The sequence below is a fragment of the Homo sapiens genome, chromosome 8, assembly GCF_000001405.40.
Source record: "Homo sapiens chromosome 8, GRCh38.p14 Primary Assembly".
Taxonomy (NCBI): domain Eukaryota; kingdom Metazoa; phylum Chordata; class Mammalia; order Primates; family Hominidae; genus Homo; species Homo sapiens.
The window spans coordinates 69593219-69614483 of record NC_000008.11 but is presented as its reverse complement, the minus strand read 5'-3'; the positions used below and the strand labels follow the sequence as shown (position 1 = coordinate 69614483).

The 21265-nt window shown below is 40.1% G+C and overlaps 1 protein-coding gene across 36 annotated transcripts in view; it reads right to left on the bottom strand.

The window, feature by feature from the left end:
• Nucleotides 1–21265, bottom strand: part of SULF1 (sulfatase 1) — a 194132-nt gene that overhangs the window by 46429 nt on the left and 126438 nt on the right. For 25 of the 36 annotated variants that reach the window (NR_182051.1, NR_182050.1, NR_156415.2 and 22 more), the window contains 5 exons: nt 13731–13881; nt 12655–12830; nt 11164–11292; nt 10828–10884; nt 9552–9681 (listed from right to left, as the gene is read on the bottom strand). Coding sequence is in view for 28 of the 36 variants with exons in the window: in NM_001412835.1 (NP_001399764.1) it covers nt 9552–9681; nt 10828–10884; nt 11164–11292; nt 12655–12830; nt 13731–13881 (643 nt within the window). In the remaining 8 variants the exon portion in view is untranslated. Of the gene's footprint in view, nt 1–9551; nt 9682–10288; nt 10885–11163; nt 11293–12654; nt 12831–13730; nt 13882–21265 lie in introns of those variants that run through there. The other 11 variants (NM_001412839.1, NM_001412838.1, NM_001412832.1 and 8 more) reach the window with 5 other exon arrangements.

Below are 21265 nucleotides of genomic sequence, written 5' to 3'. Positions count from 1 at the left end.
TCATTTATTTAACTCTTGCTTGATAGCAGGTACTGCTCTAGAGCACTCTTTATGAATTTTTCATTTAATCCTCACTACAACCCAGAGTGCTGTCACAAGTCATTTACTGAAATAGGATTTCGTAGTAGTGAATATTACCTATATTCTGTCTTGGACTCGGAATGGTGTTTTTTACTCATCGGTGTGGCTTAAAGGAAAAAGTCTGGATTTGCAAGCTCAAAAAGCCTGGATTTGAACACCAGCTCTATCACATGGCTATGTGGCCCTGAGCAAGTAAGCTATGCCACATTAGCCTTTGCAGAGTTATGAGCATTAGCGATAACACACGGTAAGAACTCAGCACATGGCAGGCACTCAACAAAAGCAGCTGCTATTATTATTATTATTACATACATACACCCACACATGGTTTATTACTTAAAGAATGTGATCTAATGTGTATTTGATAAGAGGTAGCCATTTTTAATGGAGATGAGTATTGGGTTGGGATTCAAAGACCTTAATTTTATTATTTTTTTTTTTTTGCTGCTAACTCTATGGCTTTGAGCAAATTGCAGAATCTCTTTGTTCTTCTGGATTCCACATCCGATAAAATAATACTTGCTCCTCCTGGCTTCATGGATAGTCATGAGAATAGATTGTTTGAGTGTTTTGAAGTTCTAAGGAAAAGATGTACTATATGAACCTAGAGCAGTACTATAATTGGCCTTTAAAAAGTTTATCCAATCCTGGGCAAGCTAATGTTTTCTGGTGGTAAACTGTACAAAATAATTATTATTTAGTGAGAGAGACAGAAGCTTTGAGTCACCCAGATCTTGGTTTGAACTCAGGTTTGTCATTCTTCTAGCTGTGTGACTTTGGTCAAGTTATTTTCCCATCTGAGTTTCAGTCTCTTCATATCTAAAATGGGCATAATATGTATCTCATAGAACAGTTTTCCATGTAAAATACTTAGTGCAATATTAGATGACCTCTGGTTGCTTTTCCTTCCTGAAGTATCCACTAAGTAATCATTATAATTTCTGCATTTTGAATTGCAAATATTTCTCAGATTGGTTAAGGATGTTGTTCTCTGTTCTTACTTATGCCTACTTGTGTCCATTTTCATGAGTAAGAAACAAAAAAAAAAAACCCAAAAATTGGCTACACCAAAACAATATTAAGCAAAAAAAAAAAAAAAACCAAATCTGTAGGCATCACATTACCTGACTTCTAATTATACTACAAGCCTGTAATTACCAAAACAGCATGGTACTGGCATAAAAACAGGCACATAGAATGGAACAGAATAGAGAACCCAGAAATAAAGCCAAATACTTACCACCAACTGATCTTGGACAAAGTTAACAAAAACATAAATTGGGGTAAGGACACCCTATTCAATAAATGGTGCTGGGAAAACTGGCAAGCCACATGTAGAAGAATGAAACTGGATTCCTATCTCTCACGTTACACAAAAATCAACTCAAGATGGATCAAAGACTTAAATCTAAGACCCAAAACTATAAAAATTTGAGAAGATAACATTGGAAAAACTCTTCTAGACATTGGCTTAGGCAAAGAACTCATAACTAAGACCCCAAAAGCAAATATAAAAAAACCCAAACATAAATGAATGAGACCTAATTAAACTAAAAACCTTCTGCGCAGCAAAAGAAATAATCAGCAGAGTAAACAGACAACCCACAGAGTGGGAGAAAATATTTGCAAACTATGCATCCAACAAAGGACTAATATCCAGAATCTACAAAGGAACTCAACCAAATCAGCAAGAAAAAAGCCAATAATTCTATCAAAATGTAGGGTAAAGAAATGAATAGACAATTCTCAAAAGAAGATACACAAACAGCCAACAAGCATGAAAAAATACTCAACATCACTACTCATCAAGGAAATGCAAATTAAAACCACAATGAGATACCACCTTATTCCTGCAAGCATGGCTATAATAAAAAGTCAAAACAAAACAATAGATGTTGGCGTGAATGTGGCAAAAAGGAACACTTTTGCACTGCTGGTGAGAATGTAAATTAGTGCAACCATTACAGAAAACAGTATGGAGTTTCCTTAAAGAACTAAGAATGGAACCGCCATTCGATCCAGCAATCCTACTACTGGGTATCTACCCAAAAGAAAAGAAGTCATTATATGAAAAGGACACATGCATAGGCATGTTTATAGCAGCACAATTAGCAATTACAAAAATATGGAACCCAGCCTAAATGCCCATCAACCAACAAGTGCATAAAGAAAATGTGGTATATATACACCATGGAACACTACTCAGGCATAAAAAGGAACAAAATAATGTGTATTTTGCAGCAACTTGGATGGAGCTGGAGACCACTATTCTAAGTGAAGTAACTCAGGAATGGAAAACCAAATATTTTATTTTCTCACTTACAAGTGGGAGCTAAGCTATGAGGACGCAAAGGCATAAGAATGATATAATAAACTTTGGGGACTTGGAGGGGAAGGTTGGGAAGCAGGTGAGGGATAAAAGACTACAAACTGGGTATAGTATACACTGCTTGGGTGATGGGTGCACTAAAATCTCAGAAATCTAACTAAAGAATTTATCTATGTAACCAAAAACCACTTGTATCCCGAAAACTATTGAAATAAAAAGAAAAATTAAAAAAATTGTGTACAACTTTTTCAAAGGTGCACTGCAGTGAAAGCTTAATTTTATACATAAACACACACTAGTTCTTGGTTACCATATGTCTTATGACATGGATTTGGCCATAATGCAGGTCAAATCATGTTCTCTGAAATGTCACAACTGTATAGTAATTTTGTGATAAACTGATTATTATTCATGCCAACATGAACATCATAAAAAAGTTACCTGCATGTGGACATGTGTTTAAAATATTTATCTTAACACTGGGGAATATACAAAGACCATATTCACATCTTTGTCCAAACTGCTACTTAGCTCAAGTCATTGTCAAATTTTCTCTCACAAATATGAATTAGTGTTACTTGTGCCAGGAGGATTTATCTCCTGGCCTGTTTTCTTTGAGATGGTGTGAGATGGGAAAGAGAGGGGGACGGAAAACAGAAAAGGAGAAGCAGAAGAGAGAGAAATGTTACCTGTTATAGATTTTAATCTAGATAATCCCTTGTAAAAGTCAACACTGGAATGTTGGAAGATGTATGATTATTGTAATTCCTAGAAAATGAAATTGGTAAACTGATCTTGGCCAATGATTGACAACCAGCATTTGTTGAGTGCTTTCTATGTCCTAGACATTGTCCCAGATGCTTGATACATTTAATTCATATAACATTTACCACAGCCTATGAGGCAAGAACTATATGATGCCCATTTTACAGATGAAGAAACTGAGGCAGAGTTAGGTTAAGAAACTTGCACATAGGCAAATGCCAAGAAAGCAGTATATCCAGGATGTAATCCCAAAGCACCTTGATCAGGATACTGATGAAAAGGAGAATGGTACGAAGGCAGTATGAGTCTTCAGGTGAGCCTTAGGTGAGAAGAGAGAAGTAACAACATCCATGCAAGTGAGAAAGTGGGATTCACATGTAACATTTAAGAAACATAGAGGAGGACCTGAGCCTTAGGTGAGAAGAGAGAAGTAACAACCTCCATGCAAGTGAGAAAGTGGGATTCACATGTAACATTTAAGAAACATAGAGGAGGACCTGATTAGGATGGGCTGTTAGGAAATGGTGGAAAAGAAGACACAGTACAAATTAAGCAGAATGGGGCTGTATTATACAGTTTATGAGTAAAATGCCTATTCTCATGTTTGTCTTTTTTTGACTTGTTTAGAACAAATGCACAGAAGTCAAAGATTTAATTAGATGAACAACTGTTCATACATGAGCTTCAGCATGGGTTGAAGAGGGAAGGAAGCAAGGTTTAAAGGCTGAGTGGTCCACAATGGACCCATGCACAGAGGAGAATTCAGTAAAAGGATGGCACTGGGAGCTCAATCCTTCTGGATGTGCCCTCTGGAATCAGGTTAGCCAGGGGAAGATGTCTATGAGCCATGCTGCCATTTTGACCAGAGTTCAGTGAGTTTTGGGAAACAGGTTTGTCTGCTTCTGGAAAACTAACAATTCTAGGAGGATCTCCATGGTAAATGTCTTATTATTCATGCTCTGCTGCTGGTCACAAAGGGTCAGAAGGATATACGGCCAGAGAGATAAGTTTTGTATAGGAACAAAGATCCATCCTGGAGCTAAACCAGTTTCCACTCAACAAACTACATTCTATTTCCGTTATAATAGCATCAGCTTGCTTGATGCAGGGGTCCTCACAGATTTTTAAACAAATGTTTGATTTTATATTGATCCAATAGTAGAAAGGCAAACTAAATTGTAAAGATGCTGGAATTCAACAACTCATCAAAAGGATGTGATATTTGCCCTATCAAAACAAAGCAGGCTGCTTTTTTCCACTTAAATGCCAGATAATATGTAAAGTGTATTTCAAAATTGGATGCCCAGGGAATTTCTCTTTTATGTAGCTCCTATTTAAGACGTCAATACCTATGCCTAGAAGAAGAAGAAAAACCAACCCATTAATGCTCACTTGACATTTGTGGATCTCAAGCTTGTCTGCACGTAGGAATCATCAGGGGAGCTTGGAAAAAACACTGGTACCTGGGTCTCATACCCAGAGGTTCTGATTTAACTTGCCTGGGCTGGGACTTAAACATAAGCATCTCTAAAGCTGCCCATATGATTCTAACGTGCAGTCAGGGTTGAGAACCACCGTGAGTGGTGATTGCCATTCATAGTTTCAAAGGGAAAATCTGTCTTGCAATTTTGCAGTGGCAGCATGTTACAGGGAAGAAAGTACTCAACGTGAAGTGAAGAGATGCAGGTTTTGGCTTTGGGTTTGTAGCTTAACTTTTCTGGACCTAAATTTCCTTATCAGAAAAATGATACCATTCAACTTAGAAGATTTCTAAGATTCCTTCAAACTTTGATATTCTCTGGTTCTAGGCCTGTGATTCTTAACCTCGTTAAAAAATACAGATTCCTTGGCCTCACTTCCAGACATTTTTAACCTGGTTGGTCTGGGGGGTGCATCAGCATTTTTCAAGTGCCACCCAGGTGAGTTTATTTTTTATTTTCTGTTATTTTAGTTTTGTTTTTCTGAGACAGGGTCTCACTCAGTCGCCCAGGCTGGGGTGCAGTGGCACGATCACGGCTCACTGCAGCCTCGACTTCCTAGGCTCAAGCGATTCCCTCACCTCAGCCTCCTGAGTAGCTGGTACTGCAGGCACACACCACCACGCCTGGCTATTTTGTTTGTGCGTGGAGACGGCGTCTCCCTAGGTTGCCTAGACTGGTCTAGAACTCCTGGGCTTAGGGGATTTAGAACTCCTGCCTCAGCCTCCCAAAGTGCTGGGATTATGGGAGTAAGCCATAAGCTGCCGTGCTCGGCCCCAGGTGAGTTTAATGTGCCGCCAGCATTGAGCATCACTGCTCTTTGTTCTCTGTGGAACAAACATGCTTTAAGAAAGAGGTCGAGATTTGCCCCTCAGTATGCACATGTGCATGTGTGTGATGGTGTAGGGGGATGGGGAGTGTCTGTACATAAACGTGTCCGGGGGTGTAACGCCCAGCTGAGAGAGTGGTGGGAATTCACACTCCATCTCATATTAATTCAGGAACGTGGAAGTAATGCAAACACATATGTCCATGTTGTCTTAATTAGTCCCCGCTGGTTGTTGTGTTCACATAGTCAAGAAGTGATGCCAAGTCTCTGGGATTCCAGCCCATTTTTATTCTTTTTATATTTATTTATTTATTTTGAGATGGAGTTTCGCCCTTTTTGCCCAGGCTGGAGTGCAATGGTAAAATCTTGACTCACTGCAACCTCTGCCTCCTGGGTTCAAGTGATTCCCCGGTCTCAGCCTCCCAAGTAGCTGGAATTACAGGTGCCCACCACCACGCCTGGCTAATTTTGTATTTTTAGTAGAGATGGGGTTTCACTATGACTATGTCGGCCAGGCTGGTCTGAAACTCCTGACCTCAGATGATCTGCCCGCCTCGGGCTCCCAAAGTGTTGGGATTATAGGCATCAGCCACCGTGCCCGGCCTCAGCCCATTTTAATTCTAATTGGCTTCATAGGAATGAAAACAGCAGGTAAGATGGCTTGGAATAATAATAACACCCAATATTCGCACACTAGAGAAAATCTCAGTCTCACTTTAGTACATTACATGTATAATATCACTTAATCCTCACAAGGGTGAGGTTAATTTTCTCTATTTTAGAGATAGAAAACCTGAGACTCAGGAGAAAGTAAGTGACCTATTTGAGAAGACACAACTAGAAAGTGGTGGCGGCCAATATTCTAACCCCAACCTTTGGATCTCTTTTCTCTGTTGACTTACCTCATGCACCCACATTGACTCCACCAAACAACCTTTAGGTGACCTGGCACAAAGATGTGGTAGGAGGGGGGCATTCACTATCTCTGGGATTAAGAGTGAAGAGAATGGGGCTAGTCATGCTGATTTTCCCTTTGTTCCCCATGGAGTGTCAAAACCTGACTGTGTTGCCTTGGAATGAAGGCCATTCACCTTGTTAAGAGGAACGGAAGCAGGGCGCATGTCAGGAGGGACATCGAGAGAGAGCAGATTCCAAGCAGGTCAGTTCTAGCCTCCGCTGCCACCTCGAACCTGAACAATTCAGTGTCATTATTCTGAATTTTCTTCTTCCTTTTTTAAAGTCAGGGATACTGTCGCCAAAAACAGATAATCTTCAAAGTAGCCAGAAAGAAAGAGCAAAAGGCCAAGATATAAAAAGTCGATAGAACACAACAGAGCTGCCTGGGCATGGAGGCTCGCTCCTGTAATCCCAGCACTTTGGGAGGTCAAGGTGGGTGGATCACTTGAGTCCTGGAGTTCCAGATCAGCCTGGGCAACATGGCAAAACCCCATCTCTAAAAAAGCACAAAAATTAGTCGAGCATGGTGGTGTGTGCCTGTAGTCCTAGCTACTCAGGAGGCTGAGGTAGGAGGATAACCTGAGCCCAGGAGGGCGAGGCTGCAGTGGGCCATGATCACGCCACTGCACTCCAGCCTGGGTGACAGAGTAAAACCCTGTCCCAAAGAAAACAAAACAACAACACACAACACAGCTATCAGGTTTGACCCACAGATTCAATAACTGCTTTAAAGATTAAGGCTCAAAATTTTCTTGAAGTTCTTAGATTCCTAAGCTATGGTTTGAGGGCCACCAGTAAACACAATCGTGGGTTAGAATAGTGCTTCTCAAACTTTAGGGAGCATCAGAGTCACCTGGAGGACTTGTTAACACACAGATTGCTGGGCTTCACCCCTAGGGGTTCTGATTCAGAAGGTCTGCAATAGCCAGAGAATTTGCATTTCTGACAAACTCTCAGGGATGCTGATCCTGCTGGTTCGGGATTAGAGTAACAATTCACTAGTGCTGTGGATACACTGAAGCTAGAGACAATCTGAAATACTCTCCAGGTCTTCACTTCTAAAGCTCACTCAGGCCCAATATAAAGAAATTCTATAGAAAGAAATCACCATCAGGGCATAGCCTAATTCTTTGTTCCACGAATTCAGGCCTTTCTAAAAGAGACCATTGCTGACGTTCTCATATATCCACATAATGGATCTAAATTCAGACTGATTCACAGCGAAATGAAACAGTGGAAGAAAATTCCAGATATGAAAGCATTTCATGGGGCCAAAACAAGTTCAAAAAATATGAAAAAGCAAAATTAAGTTTGTAACTTAGTTAGCATTCAGCTCGTGAGTGAAAAGCTTGTGCCAAAGTACCATAATCTGGTTTATGCTACATTTGCCCTTTAGGACATATATTAAAATTTTAGGGCAAGCCATATGGAGAGGTTTGTAAAATTACACACTGAAATGTAGGCAGTGTACCTTATTCCCAAAAGGCTATAATGTTCACCTCTTAGAGCTAAAAGAGTAACAAGATCACCAATTTGCATGAGATATATTTAACACTGAACATTTGCAACTCCTGAATAAAAGTAAATTAGTCTATTGAGGCTAGCTCATAAAAATCATCTTAGAGCTACAAAACAATTCTGAGGTTTTATTCATAATAATATTTGGAGGTTTCATAAGAAAGATTTGAAGACTTCAAATTAAAATATAATGAATAGGTCTCAGCTTTTCTCCACTAAACACTTGAAAATTAAGATGTACTAGAATGTAGTGAAGGCTTAGTTTTAGCCCTTCCTTCAACAGCTCTCCCTCCCTATCCTCTTCTATTTCAAAGGGATCCTGTGTACAAGAAAGCATGAGGAAATGCAGGGTATAAGGATCAAGTTGTTTATTAGGAATGTCTATTCAACAAGCTAGATACCATATAATAAGCGTATAATGAGTGAGGCCATTTTAATAATAACTTTGTTACCTACTCATTCCATGAGCCTGACATCTTGAACTGGTGTTGGTGAATTGTGTGGATATCTAGAGGTCAGTTAAGTTAAAAAAGACTCACAGATTTGAACTTCTCTTCACCTGGTTATTGTAACTTACCTTGGAAGGCAGCAAGTGGCCTGAGTTATTGAATCAGACAACTCCTGTTTGAATCCCAGCTGCCCATTTGTAAAATGGAGATGCCAATGCCCACCTCACTCTACAGTTGTGAGGATTAAATTGAGTAAATGCTACAAAATCCTGCGTACTGTGCCTGATGTAAGACAAATGCTCACTATGTGTTAGTATTTTTCACTTTCCTCTGATTTTGTTCTCAGCTGCAATGATTTGGGCCAAAGTTCAGTTCCTCTTGTCATGACACAGCATTTTCTTTTAGCTAGCATACATTTCAATCAAGGGCATTTAAAATCAATGGTTTTAAACTGGTTTAAATTCATACGTACTCACTTTCTTTAAAAGCAATGTTAATTCATCACACAGTATTTCTTTTATTCTTACTGATAATAACTGGTATTCTGGGTAGCTCTGGGGTCTATAGTAATATTTCTACTAACGAAGAGGATCTATTCTAATGAAATATTTGATGCCAGAATCTTTGTGAGCAGAAGTAGGAACAATAAACAAACAGAATATGGTTTCTCTTCTCATTCCTCAAGCTTGGTCACAGGCTCTGTCCTCTACTGGGGGTAAGATGACATTCTGACTTTAGCCTAGGGTGAAGGCCCTATCATGTCTCTTGGGGTGGTTCACTGCCAAGAGGCTCAGCACGTACCTGTGCTTTGACTAAGTAGCCTTTTGGCAACTCTTCAGTGACTAGTTAACAGGGACTATAACAGGAATCTTCTCCTCAGAGGAAACCAGTGTCTTTTGGCATAGAACTTTCTCTGAGATCATCATCTTTTTTAACTGGAGGGAGCCCAAGTAGTAATGGGGAGGCCCAGCCTGAACCAGTTACGTAATTCTGTCCGCGGAGAGGTGTCTCAGTGAGCTTGCCCTCAAGGCCACTAGGAAAAGCTTATTTATACACAAATGTACATTCTTTTATATGTGGACAATTTTCTAAATTAGAGATGGAGAAGCACATGAGTGGTGGTAAAGAAAGCCTGCGTCACTCACCTGCCCCGGTTGTTCACAGGCTGTCTGGTACCTGGCCTGCTGGCATAGTTCTTTGACCCGTTCATATTTGGGCAAGTGATTTGACTGTTGGATATTCTTGCTGGATTCTTCCTTCTTACGTAGAAATTTGCTTCGACAAAAAGGGAAAAGCTTCGTACATGAGAAGTGATCTGAATTACGGTCCCTGAGTCCTGCCCCCTTTTTTTTTTTACCCTGTCACATGACTCCACATTCTTTAAACAGCAAGAAATAGATGTTAAAGCTCTGTCTACAGGAGTTCAACATTTGATGGGTCCTTTATGAAAATGACAAACTGGGTAGGATGAAGATGAGAGGTCAGGAAAAGATTCGTTCTTCCCAAAAGCATTAATTTCAAAATTTGGGCATACATGTTTCATTTTACATGCTCAAAGTTCCTTTTGTTAAAAAAATTATACAAATATTTTCTCTCTCCTAATTTATGTACAGAGAAAAACAAGGCAATGGGTATTAATGAACCAAAAGGGGAAACCCAGAAGTGACAATGGAAATAATTACAATGGCATACATTTATCTATTTAAAACTAGGAAAGGCACACAAGGAAAAGAAGTAGGAAGTAGGAAGAAGGGTGCCGGGTGAGGCTTGGAGGCAGCTTAGAGAAGAACGTGGGGAGGATGGTAGAGAAACTCAATCCACTGGTCTGATTAGAAACCAGCACTGAGAAATGCAACAGTAAATCTACACCCATGATAAAGGCTTTGGTCCAAGCTTATGAGAATTTATTCTTTTTGGGGGATGTGGAGTCGTCATTCTCTTGCTTTTTTGGTATTTTAAAAATTGATATATCACAATTATACATATTTTGGGGGTACGTGTGATATATGGATACCAGTCTACAATGTGTAATGATCAAATCAAGATAATTGGGATATTCATCATCTCATTTATCTTTTCCTTGTGTTGGGAACTTTGCAATTCTTCACTTCTAGCTATTTTAAGATATACATAAATTATTGTTAACGATAATGTCCCAACTATACTATCAAATTCTATAACTTCTATCTAACTGTGTTTTTGTACCAATTAACCAACTTGAGGGTTATTCTTTACAATTCTGATCCAGCAATTATTACTCTATTGACCACTACAGAATAAGCAGCAAACCATTCAATCTTGTGACTAGGTTTACGAAATCTGCATGCTTAGTAAACAAAAATAAGGAGAAAAAAAATACTCAGCAGGGAAAGCTGCCCACTAGGACTGGTTCCCAGAAGCACCCCAGGAACCAATAATTACCCTCTTTCCACTAGGAATGTATCACGCCAAATTTTGGCCTTCTTGTTTGTTCGAAACCTGAAAGCAAAATGATAATATTTACTTTTGGCATCTGGACGTTTTTCCAAATGGATCTGTGCTAACAGCTTATTTAAAGAAACACCTCTCACTTCCCACAGACCATGAGTGCATCTCCATCAATATGCTATTCACAAGCAGCTGAGAAATGCTCAGCTTGGGGTGATCCTTGTGGGCAAGGCATATTCTGCCTCCATGTCTTCAGCTGCTGGCTGGCTCTGGGCACCAGCTGGAGCTCAGTGTATTTGGGGCTGGCTGAGAGGAGGAACAATGACACACCTGTTACCTGGCTTTTCTGGGTCCAGAAGTTTGAGGACAGACTTGCCGTCCACATCAGGAGGTGTGTCGAGCCCAGCAATATCCAGGATCGTGGGGGCCAAGTCAATGTTGAGAACGATCTGTGGGACTCTGTAAAGGGGCACACGGTGATGGCTGAGATCCAATGCCAGGGGAAGGTGGCACTTAGGGCTGCTTTTTCTACAGCAGTGACTCATTGGCCTTCAACTCTTCTCACCCTCTCATCTGGTCTCCTAGGCATGGGTAGTTGTGTGGCAAGGGTGGGTGTGTGATCACAGCAATGGCACTGAGCAAGATTAACTGACTCTTGCCAGGGTCAGGCTGGAGAGATGCCTGCACCCCTGTATTCTGACCACATCACCAGGCAAGATGCAGCCTGATACATGGTTTTTGCAGCAAGCATACTTTTGCTTAAAACCCAATAGTCCATAACTTTTCCGTTGAACAAGAGCTTTAAAATCAATATTTTAAAAAAGGATGTACAGTTTTTACAGTTGAATTCAATCTATGCTATCTAGTCCTTAAAACATAAAGCCTTCTAGATATAGATCTGACAATTCTCAGGGTGTTTCTAATAATCTTAGGAAGCACAATAACATTCTTCAAAGAAACCTTTCTTACTTCAATTGCCCTCTCTCCAGGATGTAGTATGATGCAGCAGCACATGTGGTACTCGGGGGAGATTCAGAACATCTGGGCTCTGGGCCCCACTGCCACCACTTCCAGAATCAGGGATCTGAGAGGGGCACTGACGCTGTCTGCCTAGCTTCACTGTTACATCAGGGGTCCAGGCTAGATGCTTTTCAAGGGCCATTCCAGCTTCTGGATTCTACTTCCACTTTTTCTTTTAGTCTTTCCATAATTCTTTCATGGATGCAATCCCATTTTATTCAAAACATCCTGAGATGATTGACAAGGCCATTTTATGATGGGAAAATAGGCAAGGCCATTTCATGATGGGAAAATAGAGATGCAAAGAGAAGCAGTGACCTGCCTACAGTGACAGAAATAGCAGCCTAGTCCTTTAGCTCTTTTTCCTTTAAAAGAAAAGCCAGCTTTTCAAAATTTATCTTTTAAAAACATTTCTTTCGGAATAATTTTTAAAAGTTAAACACTAAAAGGATGGTGTCAGGTTTTTTTTTTAAATGACAGCGTATCTCTGATTCAAAGAAGGGTGATATCCCAGAAGATCACATCCTGTCTGTGCACACAGACCAAAAAGACATAGATTCCAGTCAATTTGAGAGAATTAGTCATTGATACACTTATTTTTCCTTTCTCTTTAAGTAGTATACTTGAGCTAATTTAAGATGTGGCAGGGAGGAAAAGGTTTTCATCTTCGAAATTAACCAGCCTACACACATCCTTTTTTGTTTTGGATGAAAGGAAACCAGATACTGAGACTGGTAATTGAATTATCTTAGACACACTTGAGGTACGACAGTTGAATGTTGCAAACAGAGAAATACGTACATTGATCCTGGTTCTACACTTGGACCACGAATAAAAAAAGGCACACGAATATCAAAGTCATATGGCATGGATTTCCCCTTGACCAGTCCAAACTGCCCAATATGGTAACCATGGTCGGCGGTGTAAATGATGTAAGTATTCTCCAGCTCCCCCGTCTCCACGAGCATGTTATACAGCTGAAATACAGCAAAGGAACAAGTCAGAATCAATTGTGCTGGTATAAGATGATGCTCAATAGTGTTGCCACGATTGCCCCCAAATCTTTTTCCTGTTATTTTTAAAAGGCAAGAGTTGCTTTAATAACATTATCCACATTTTCTATTTGCTTACAGTCTGGGAGGGAAAGGTCCAATGGTAAAGGTGAAATGTAACTTTTTGGAATCTAGCACATTCTACTTTTAGGCTTTTTGTTTGCTTGTTTGGTAGAACAAAAACAAAAACACCCCGCACAACAACCTCTACCATCAAACTTTATAGGTTGTACTTTGAAAATCCATTGTTAAAATTATCATCACATATCTAATTACCAAGGGTTAAAAACAGGCTGCTTCTGAGCCTGATCCAGTTAAATCCAGCCTGAGGCACGTCTTGTTTGGCTTATACTATGTTTCAAAGTTCAGAAAATTTCAAATAAAATTTTTTGTGTTTCTGGCTTCTTTAAAAAAGTCAGAAGACCTGCTGATACTTGATCCACATTTCTACATGGCAAAATTTAGCTGGAGCTGAGTAATTGCTGTTCCTTTAGATGGGGCCCTTAACTTAAAGTTCAAGTTCAGCACAAGCTCCATCAATTCTTTATTGCCTTTGAGGATGTGGCCCCTGATCTACGCTGATTTGATTTTTCTCTCCTCTTTTTTACTGGCTCCATAAGAAACCAACCCTGGAGAGGTAGATGGAATGAGGACAAGATAAGGGAGGGATGATTAAGCCACTAAACACATACTCTCTCTCTTTCTTTCTCTCTCAAAATGATGCTGGAAAATGAAGGGGAAAAAACCAAACAGGATTGGCAAGAATAAGTCTACACAAAGGAAGCTGGGCCAAAAACTATCACTGAGGTAGGTTCATGTGCTTACCCTCTCCACAGAATCATCCACTGACATCAAAGTCTGGAGCCTTTTGCGCTGTAGAATGTTTGTAAATTCCATGTGGATGGGCAGCATTGGTCCTGTGTACTGCATAATCCAGTGTTTATCCATATTTGGTGCATAGTTATAACTAGGAGTTCTGAAAATATCCAGAAAGGAATCTTACTATATATTTCTTACTTAGTCTTTTAGGAAAATATCTCGAGGTTGTGAAATAATCATTAAGGAGAGATAATTGAGACACTGCTAAAACATTTTCCTCTTCCAACTATCTTCTGTTTGCATTTATAAGAAGATGAAGTCTTCACCACCCCAAAGAGCAAATATCCTCTGAAGGTATATATATTCAAACATATAAAACCATGACTGGCAGCTGAACATGTAATTAGAAGTTCATTTGGGTTCACTGAATAAAATGTGTAAGAAACATACCAAGATGATTATGGTTATGTTACAAATCTACAGATAAAGTCTCGGTAAGGTACAAGGGAATATCCTCATATGATGTTAACTCATAAAAATTTTATTGCTAATGAGGCTATTAAATGTAGTCACAAATACGTTATGTGGAATGATGAATCATCATTTCAACACATTTTTTCTCCTGAATACTTGAGAAGAGTATTTTATTGATTACTTACATATCTAGTTTTTATGAGTTTTTTATATAGATGCCATTACTTTAACTGGACTTGTGGGAATGATAACCAAGTCTACTTCCGCAATATACATGTTTACCAATAAAGCTATTCGTTTAATAAACAAATCAATATAGGTGCAGGGAATAATTTCTGTAAGCCACAAGGATATTGTCCTATTGTTCCAGGATAGGTTAGTTCAAGTCTATATTTAATCTACTGCAGAGATCCACATGGTATCCCATGCCTTCCACTGGGTACTCAAAAAAATATGTCACCTTCTCTTGATGTCTCACCCAACTCCCTCAACCATTAGATGCTGCCACCTCACGCTCTGCCATGGGTACGTAACATATCTATGCTATGGCAATTCTCACCCTGAGAATTATTTATTTATATTTGAACTCTTTAACAGACTATAATCTACTTGAATCTTCTTCTTCAATGTTATTAAGCACATAGAGGTTAATATTAAAAACCGAGTGAGAGTTTAATATGTGTTGGGTATTATGCAAACCATTTTATATACATTAACTCACCTAATTGTCTCAGCTGCTCTGTAAAATAGGTTTATTATTCCCTCTTTACAGCAGAGAAAATCAAGCCTTGGCAAAGTTGAGGAACTCCTCCAAATTAACAACATTAGTAAGTGGTAGAAACAGGCCTGAATTCCAAAGCCCATTTGCTTTAACAAAATGAATGAGAAGGGAAGTGAGGGGTGCTTGCTACGTCTGAGATTGCTTTTAATAAGAACCACAACTTTACAAATAGGCAGCCTCACAGAATGAGCAACAGTTTATGTGACCGAGAAATCTGATTCCCAATCTCTGTCTGAGGAGGATCCCATCAGTGAAATGATGTGGATAATGACGGCTGAATGTGACCCCATGCCATTATTTATATTATAAAACTAGGGAAAGAATCAGTCACTGTGAGTTCTTTGATTTCAGGAGTCTTGACCGAGTCCTCCACTGGATCTGTGGTGGTGTGGATTTCCCATGGGGAAAGCCTGGAGTTTCTGAGATTCACGGTGATACCCTGGGACACTGCCATGCACACTGGGTCATATAAATGCCACCTGCTATTATATTTTCTCTCCTGCCAGTGGATTTGCAGAACCTCTCTTTTGATAGTAGAAAATGCTGGTTTGGGATCCTTGGCCTTCTTGGTTGACAAAGTTACCCTGGTGACCAGGATGGGTGCTGGTTACCCAGTAGCAGCACAGCAGCACAAATAATATCACATTGAGCTTAGAAGACACTGTCTCTAAAAGTGCCTCAGTTATGCTCAGAAGTATAAGTAACTCATGTTTAAAGAAAGAGACAAGATTTAGAGTGTGGAAAAGAGGGTGTGGCTCAAATGTGCTCATCTGTAAATGGGGTTAATAGCACTTTTCTTAAAAAGCTGTTTTGGGCCAGCCATGGTGGCTCACGCCTGTAATCCCAGCATTTTGGAAGGCCCAGGCGGGTGAATCACCTGAGGTCAGGAGTTCGAGACCAGCCTGGCCAACATGGGGAAACCCCGTCTCTACTAAAAATACAAAAATTAGCTGGGCATGGTGGCGGGCGCCTGTAATCCCAGCTACTCAGGAGGCTGAGGCAGGAGAATCTTTTGAACCAGAGAGGTGGAGGGTGCAGTGAGCCGAGATTGCGCCACTGCACTCCAGCCTGGGTAACAGAGCGAGACTCTATCTCAAAAAACCACCACTAACAACAAAAAACAAAAAACAAACCCAAAGCTGTTTTGAGGAACAACCACCATATATACAGAGCACTTAAAATGCCTAGAACAGAGGCGCTTGAATTTCCTCCATGAGCCAATAAACAAGGAACTCTCTTGTAATTATTTGGGTTAGAAAAAATCCACAGTATTCCAAAACAAACCCTTCAGGTATGACCTGTCATCCTTAAGATAAACTTTCAATATAAACTTTCTCCTGCCTACCAAAGAAAATGGTTCGTTAACCAAATGGTCCCCCCCTTTTTTTTTTTTTGGCCTGAAAGAGTTCTTCATATCTAAAAGTAAACCACAGTCATAAGGGAAGTGGGGAGGGACTTAAGCCCATGTTTCGTATTCTTCATGCAGCATGTTGCGTTACAAACAGGATTAGATTAAGAGGTTGAGGAGGAGGAGAGAGGGGCTACTAAATCCCCTCAAAAAGGGTTTTTTGCCCATGAGGGTAGTCCGAGGTCAGAGAAATATAGAAAGTTGGTTGTGAAAGGCCCCTAACCATTTACCATTACATGCCCTGAGAAAGAATACAGCTATAACAGATTACACAGGGTTTCTTTATAATACCTAAACATCCTCTACTTATTGCCTTTGATGTTGGGCTGGGTTAATTTAAAAATAAATCTGGTTGACTTTTTTAAAACCACAAAACCTCAACACAAATAAAAATTACAATAGGGAACTGAAATGCAGGCTCACAGTGGGGAAATTATATCTTCCACCAGTTACCTTGATGTGCTTGGCATAGCTCCACCCCACTTGGAGGAACAGGGAAGCTTGCAGCAAATTACAAGCCTCAAATTGGACTCCCGGATTTACAGAATGACATACGTTAAATCTGGCTTATATTAAAAGGGAAAGTTCAGGGACTGTTGTCAAAGCTGTCCTTTCCTGCCCCCCCTTATTTTTCTTAATTTCTTGATATGGGAGATGACCCCCAGCTCTGGGGATGAGGTCCCAGGTGGGATCTCAGCAGGCAGCAGGGACAGAGTGTGCATGTGCCTTTTAAAGGAAGACAGACTGCCACTGCTTCCCACAGAACAGCAGCTGTTCAGGGACCTGCAGGTGGAAGGTCGGGGGTCACTGGAATTGACAATGTTGTTGAAAAGTGATCTTTTGCCAAAGGCCTGTGGTTGCCCCCTGCTGAGGTCTGCCAAATTCCTCGAAGATGCGGCCTTCTGTTCCCCAGTGATAATTAAAGCTTGCTTTCCTAACTAAGGATTGTCTTCGAATTATTCAAACAGGCCCTGGAGCTGTCAGCTGGAACACAAGCCACTGAAAAAAGCAGGTACCTGTTTTTGGGAGAAATGGAAAACCACATATTGAGTTATTCCAGAATGTTTTGGAATTAGACTCAAATATTCATCCCAGCTCTGTTCCTTAATATTATGTGATCTTGGACAACTTTTTGTCTAAGTCTCAGTTTCCTCATCTATATAATGGGGATAACAACTTTAAAGAGTTCTTGTAGGGGTTAAGAGATTTCTGTGGCTCTAGAGAGCAAATTCTGGGACCATATCATACCCATTCTCATAGGTAGCTGGAAAAGAGCTTATCCCTTAATAGCTCATTTGATTGTTGCAGCAACTCTGAGGACTCAGCAGGGCACATTAGTCCCATGTTACAAATGAGGAAGTAAAGTGCACAGAGGTGGCTCAGAAATAATGCACCGGGATAGCTCTCCATCAGTGCCCCTCCTACAACACCACACTGGCCACAGTCTTGAACCAGAGGCCCCACAAAGTACCTCAAAAATCCCACTCATTAAAAGGAAAATTGATATATCCTTTCTTCCTATCAAAAGTGAGTCCTAAAATCTTAGCTTTCATCCTGATTTAAAATACCAGCTGCTTCTGCTTCCCAATCAGATATCTTCCCATCAGTTGCTGGGTCTACTTTTGTTGCAAATACAGAATAAAGTCTGGCCCTTCTAGGCACACTGGATGCATCCATGAAAAGGTAGATAACACAATACTGGTTATTTGCTTTAAAATTGAGAGGACAAAAGACCAGACTATCATTTGCAAATTTCTGTTGCTTTCTTAAAAAAAAAAATTCTGTGTTGGAGGTAGAGTCACGTGTGCCTAACCTGGGAAGACCTTTCTGTTGCCTGTTAGATAAGGGCTTCACCCAGTACTGCACACTCCAGACCTTATACCCCCAAGAAAACATCCCTGTAATCCTCCATAGACTATTCCCATATATAAAAGTTTAGCTTTTCCCAGCGAGGCCTCCCTGCATATTGTTTTCCTGTGGTCACTGCTCATTTGGATTTATTGCTCAGTGCGCTGGATCATGGATACTTGAGTCCACTGTACTTGTAAGCTCAACCTTCACCATCATGCCAATTCTCCTGAGTGTTTGATTTTCTTTCCGGTATTGCTTACTGACACGACAGAAATAAGAATTCTAAAAATCAATAATGTTACCTTTCTTTTTGACAGGTGGGTATTTCAGGAGAATAATTCTTACTAGCAAAGAAAGAGTTTCAAGAGATGCATGTGTTGTATATTAAATCTATACCTGGGGAATTGCAAAGAACTTAGGAGTTCATTTTTAATGTCGATGGCCTTTGGTGTCGCTCCAGTGAAAATTAATATATTTCTAGTGTTTTGTATCTAACATGTGTTTTCTTCATTTATTTAGTCTCAAACAAACAAAAAACCCGAATGATCTAACCCTTAAAGATTACTGGTAGCAGAACCATCATTCTCTGAGAAATGAAATAAGACTTCAATTCCCAGAATAAGCCAGTGATACAGATTTAAGGTACACATTCAAAGCATTACATTGGAAATTCTACACTTAATCTCTCAAGCTGCACCATCTCAGTTTTCACTAAAACTGAACTTACTTAATGGACTTTGTGGAGATATTCCCCACCTAAGTTCAAATATCTGTAGATAGGTAACATTTGAACATATGCAGGATAATACCAAATGATCTTGATTAGAGGTATATAAGAAAAATAATTCAGAGTCTTTTAATGAAGTTAGAAACACCAGTTAGAATTGTGCAAATGGATAGAATTGTTCATAGCTCTAATCTGAATTGTGACTGTGATGTGAACTGAGTAAGTCTGGTGGAGTGAGAAGATCACCTGGGGCCAAGAGAATTGAGTTTCAGCTCTAGTTTTGTCCCTAAATACTCACATGACCTTCACAAAACCATCTGGGCCTTCCTTTAAAAAATATAGACTTTGGGTCTTTGTTTTTTAATCTAAAAAACTACGGAATTGTAGTATCTCTAGGTGTCTTTTAAATTCATAAAATCGACTGTTTAAATATCTTGATACTATTTTTAAAATGTTTTCATGTCAGCTATTTAGTGAGGTGAACATATTTGTTCATTTGCTAAGCAACAATGAATTGTGCAACTACTTGGTCCGAAGGCATGTCCACCAGGCACTGGGAGGTAAAGAGATGAAACATTTTTGTCCCTGTCTTCAGGACAAAGCTACCTGCAAAACTCCAGGGCATCATTCACATGATATTTTATCTGAATGCCCCCTGGAGTTGTGCAACTCGACTTCAGGGATCTAAGTAAACAAGCAACACCAACACTGACAGTATAAGTAGTAAATGATCCACCCAGAGAAGAACAAGGTAGAAACAGAGAAAAGGGAGCAATGAGTTCTGCCCAAATCAGATTTTTTTTTTTTGTAGAATTTAAACTTTTCTTATCTTCAAAAGCACGTCCTTTCACGTATTTGTGGAAAGAGGTACGAATGTGCAAATTCTTTTAAGGCAAGACATTTCTTTCCAGCTTTAGATAACAAAGGTGTTTCAAAACCTTTGTCCTGTGGCTTACACAGAGGGAGTTTTTCCTTTGACAACCTATGTTTATTCAAAAGCTCTACCCTCACAACAACTCTTGCAAATTAGTGCACATGGACTGTTTTACCAAGCATTTAGATTTCACTTGAACTTGTGTATTTGTGTGTGTGTGAGTGTACATGCACACACACACAGTCACACACATTTACAGGTATGGGAAGAAAGAACTGTTAAATTGGAATAACAGGTCAGGTGTGCTGGCTCATGCCTGTAATCCCAGCACTTTGGGAGCCTGAGGCGGGCGGATCACCTGAGGTCAGGAGTTCAAGACCAGCCTGAACAACATGGAGAAAACCCGTTTCCACTAAAAATACAAAATTAGCCGAGCGTGGTGGCGCATGCCTGTAATTCCAGCTACTCAGGAGGCTGAGGCAGGAGAATGGTTTGAACCTGGGAGGCAGAGGTTGTGGTGAGCCGAGATTGTGCCATTGCACTCCAGCCTGGGCAACAAGAGTGAAACTCCATCTCAAAAAAAAAAAAATTGGAATAACAACAACAAATTTTTAAAGCTGACAGGGGCATAGTTCATAGAAGGGTGATAAGGAGGTCCCTTAGTTTCCTATAGAATCACCAGGGACGTAAATGGCATCTCCTTCCCTGTCACGGCTTTTGTCCACAGGTGTATATGATGACATCACTGAGGCGAGGAGAGAGAAGTAACTTAAAGCAGGGGTGAAGGAATTGCATCCCTATGGAGATTCTGGGGAAATAAGTTACTGAAAAGTATAGTAGAGTCTTAGCCAGAGCGCAGGGCTTTCTAATACTAGGATTATTATGTGTGTTATTATGACAGAGGCTTTCTCAGATTTCTCAGTGGCCATGAGTAGCTGAGTTACAGTTTGATTAAACTATTTTCCCTGTCAACAAGTGGTCGATAATCCCCTTTCACTCTTCCTTGGTAAGCATAAGCTCTACCATCCGTTTGTAAAGCTAACAGGCCAATAGCGAACTGGCTTCCTCTCTTTGTTGGGAACGGCAAACACCTTGGAAAGATGATACATTCACCCCAGTCTGAGAGGGTCAGGTAGTTATAACCCGATGCCAGATGAAAGTGATCCAGATGATGCCTGACCACCAAGGAAGATGACCGAAAGGAAAGTGTTCACGTTACTTGCATCCCTGCAATTGGGGAGAACCTATGGTTTCTTGCTCAGTGTTTGCAGGGCCTGTCAAATATTTCTGCAAAGTACTTAACTTCTCGCATCCCTTTGCCTGAATGTGTTGCTAATGTTTTCGCTAAGGAAGCTGGTCATTGAGCAGTTCCATGCACTACCATCGGCAGCTTGTCTTCAATTTATCTCACTCCTTTTGTCTGAAG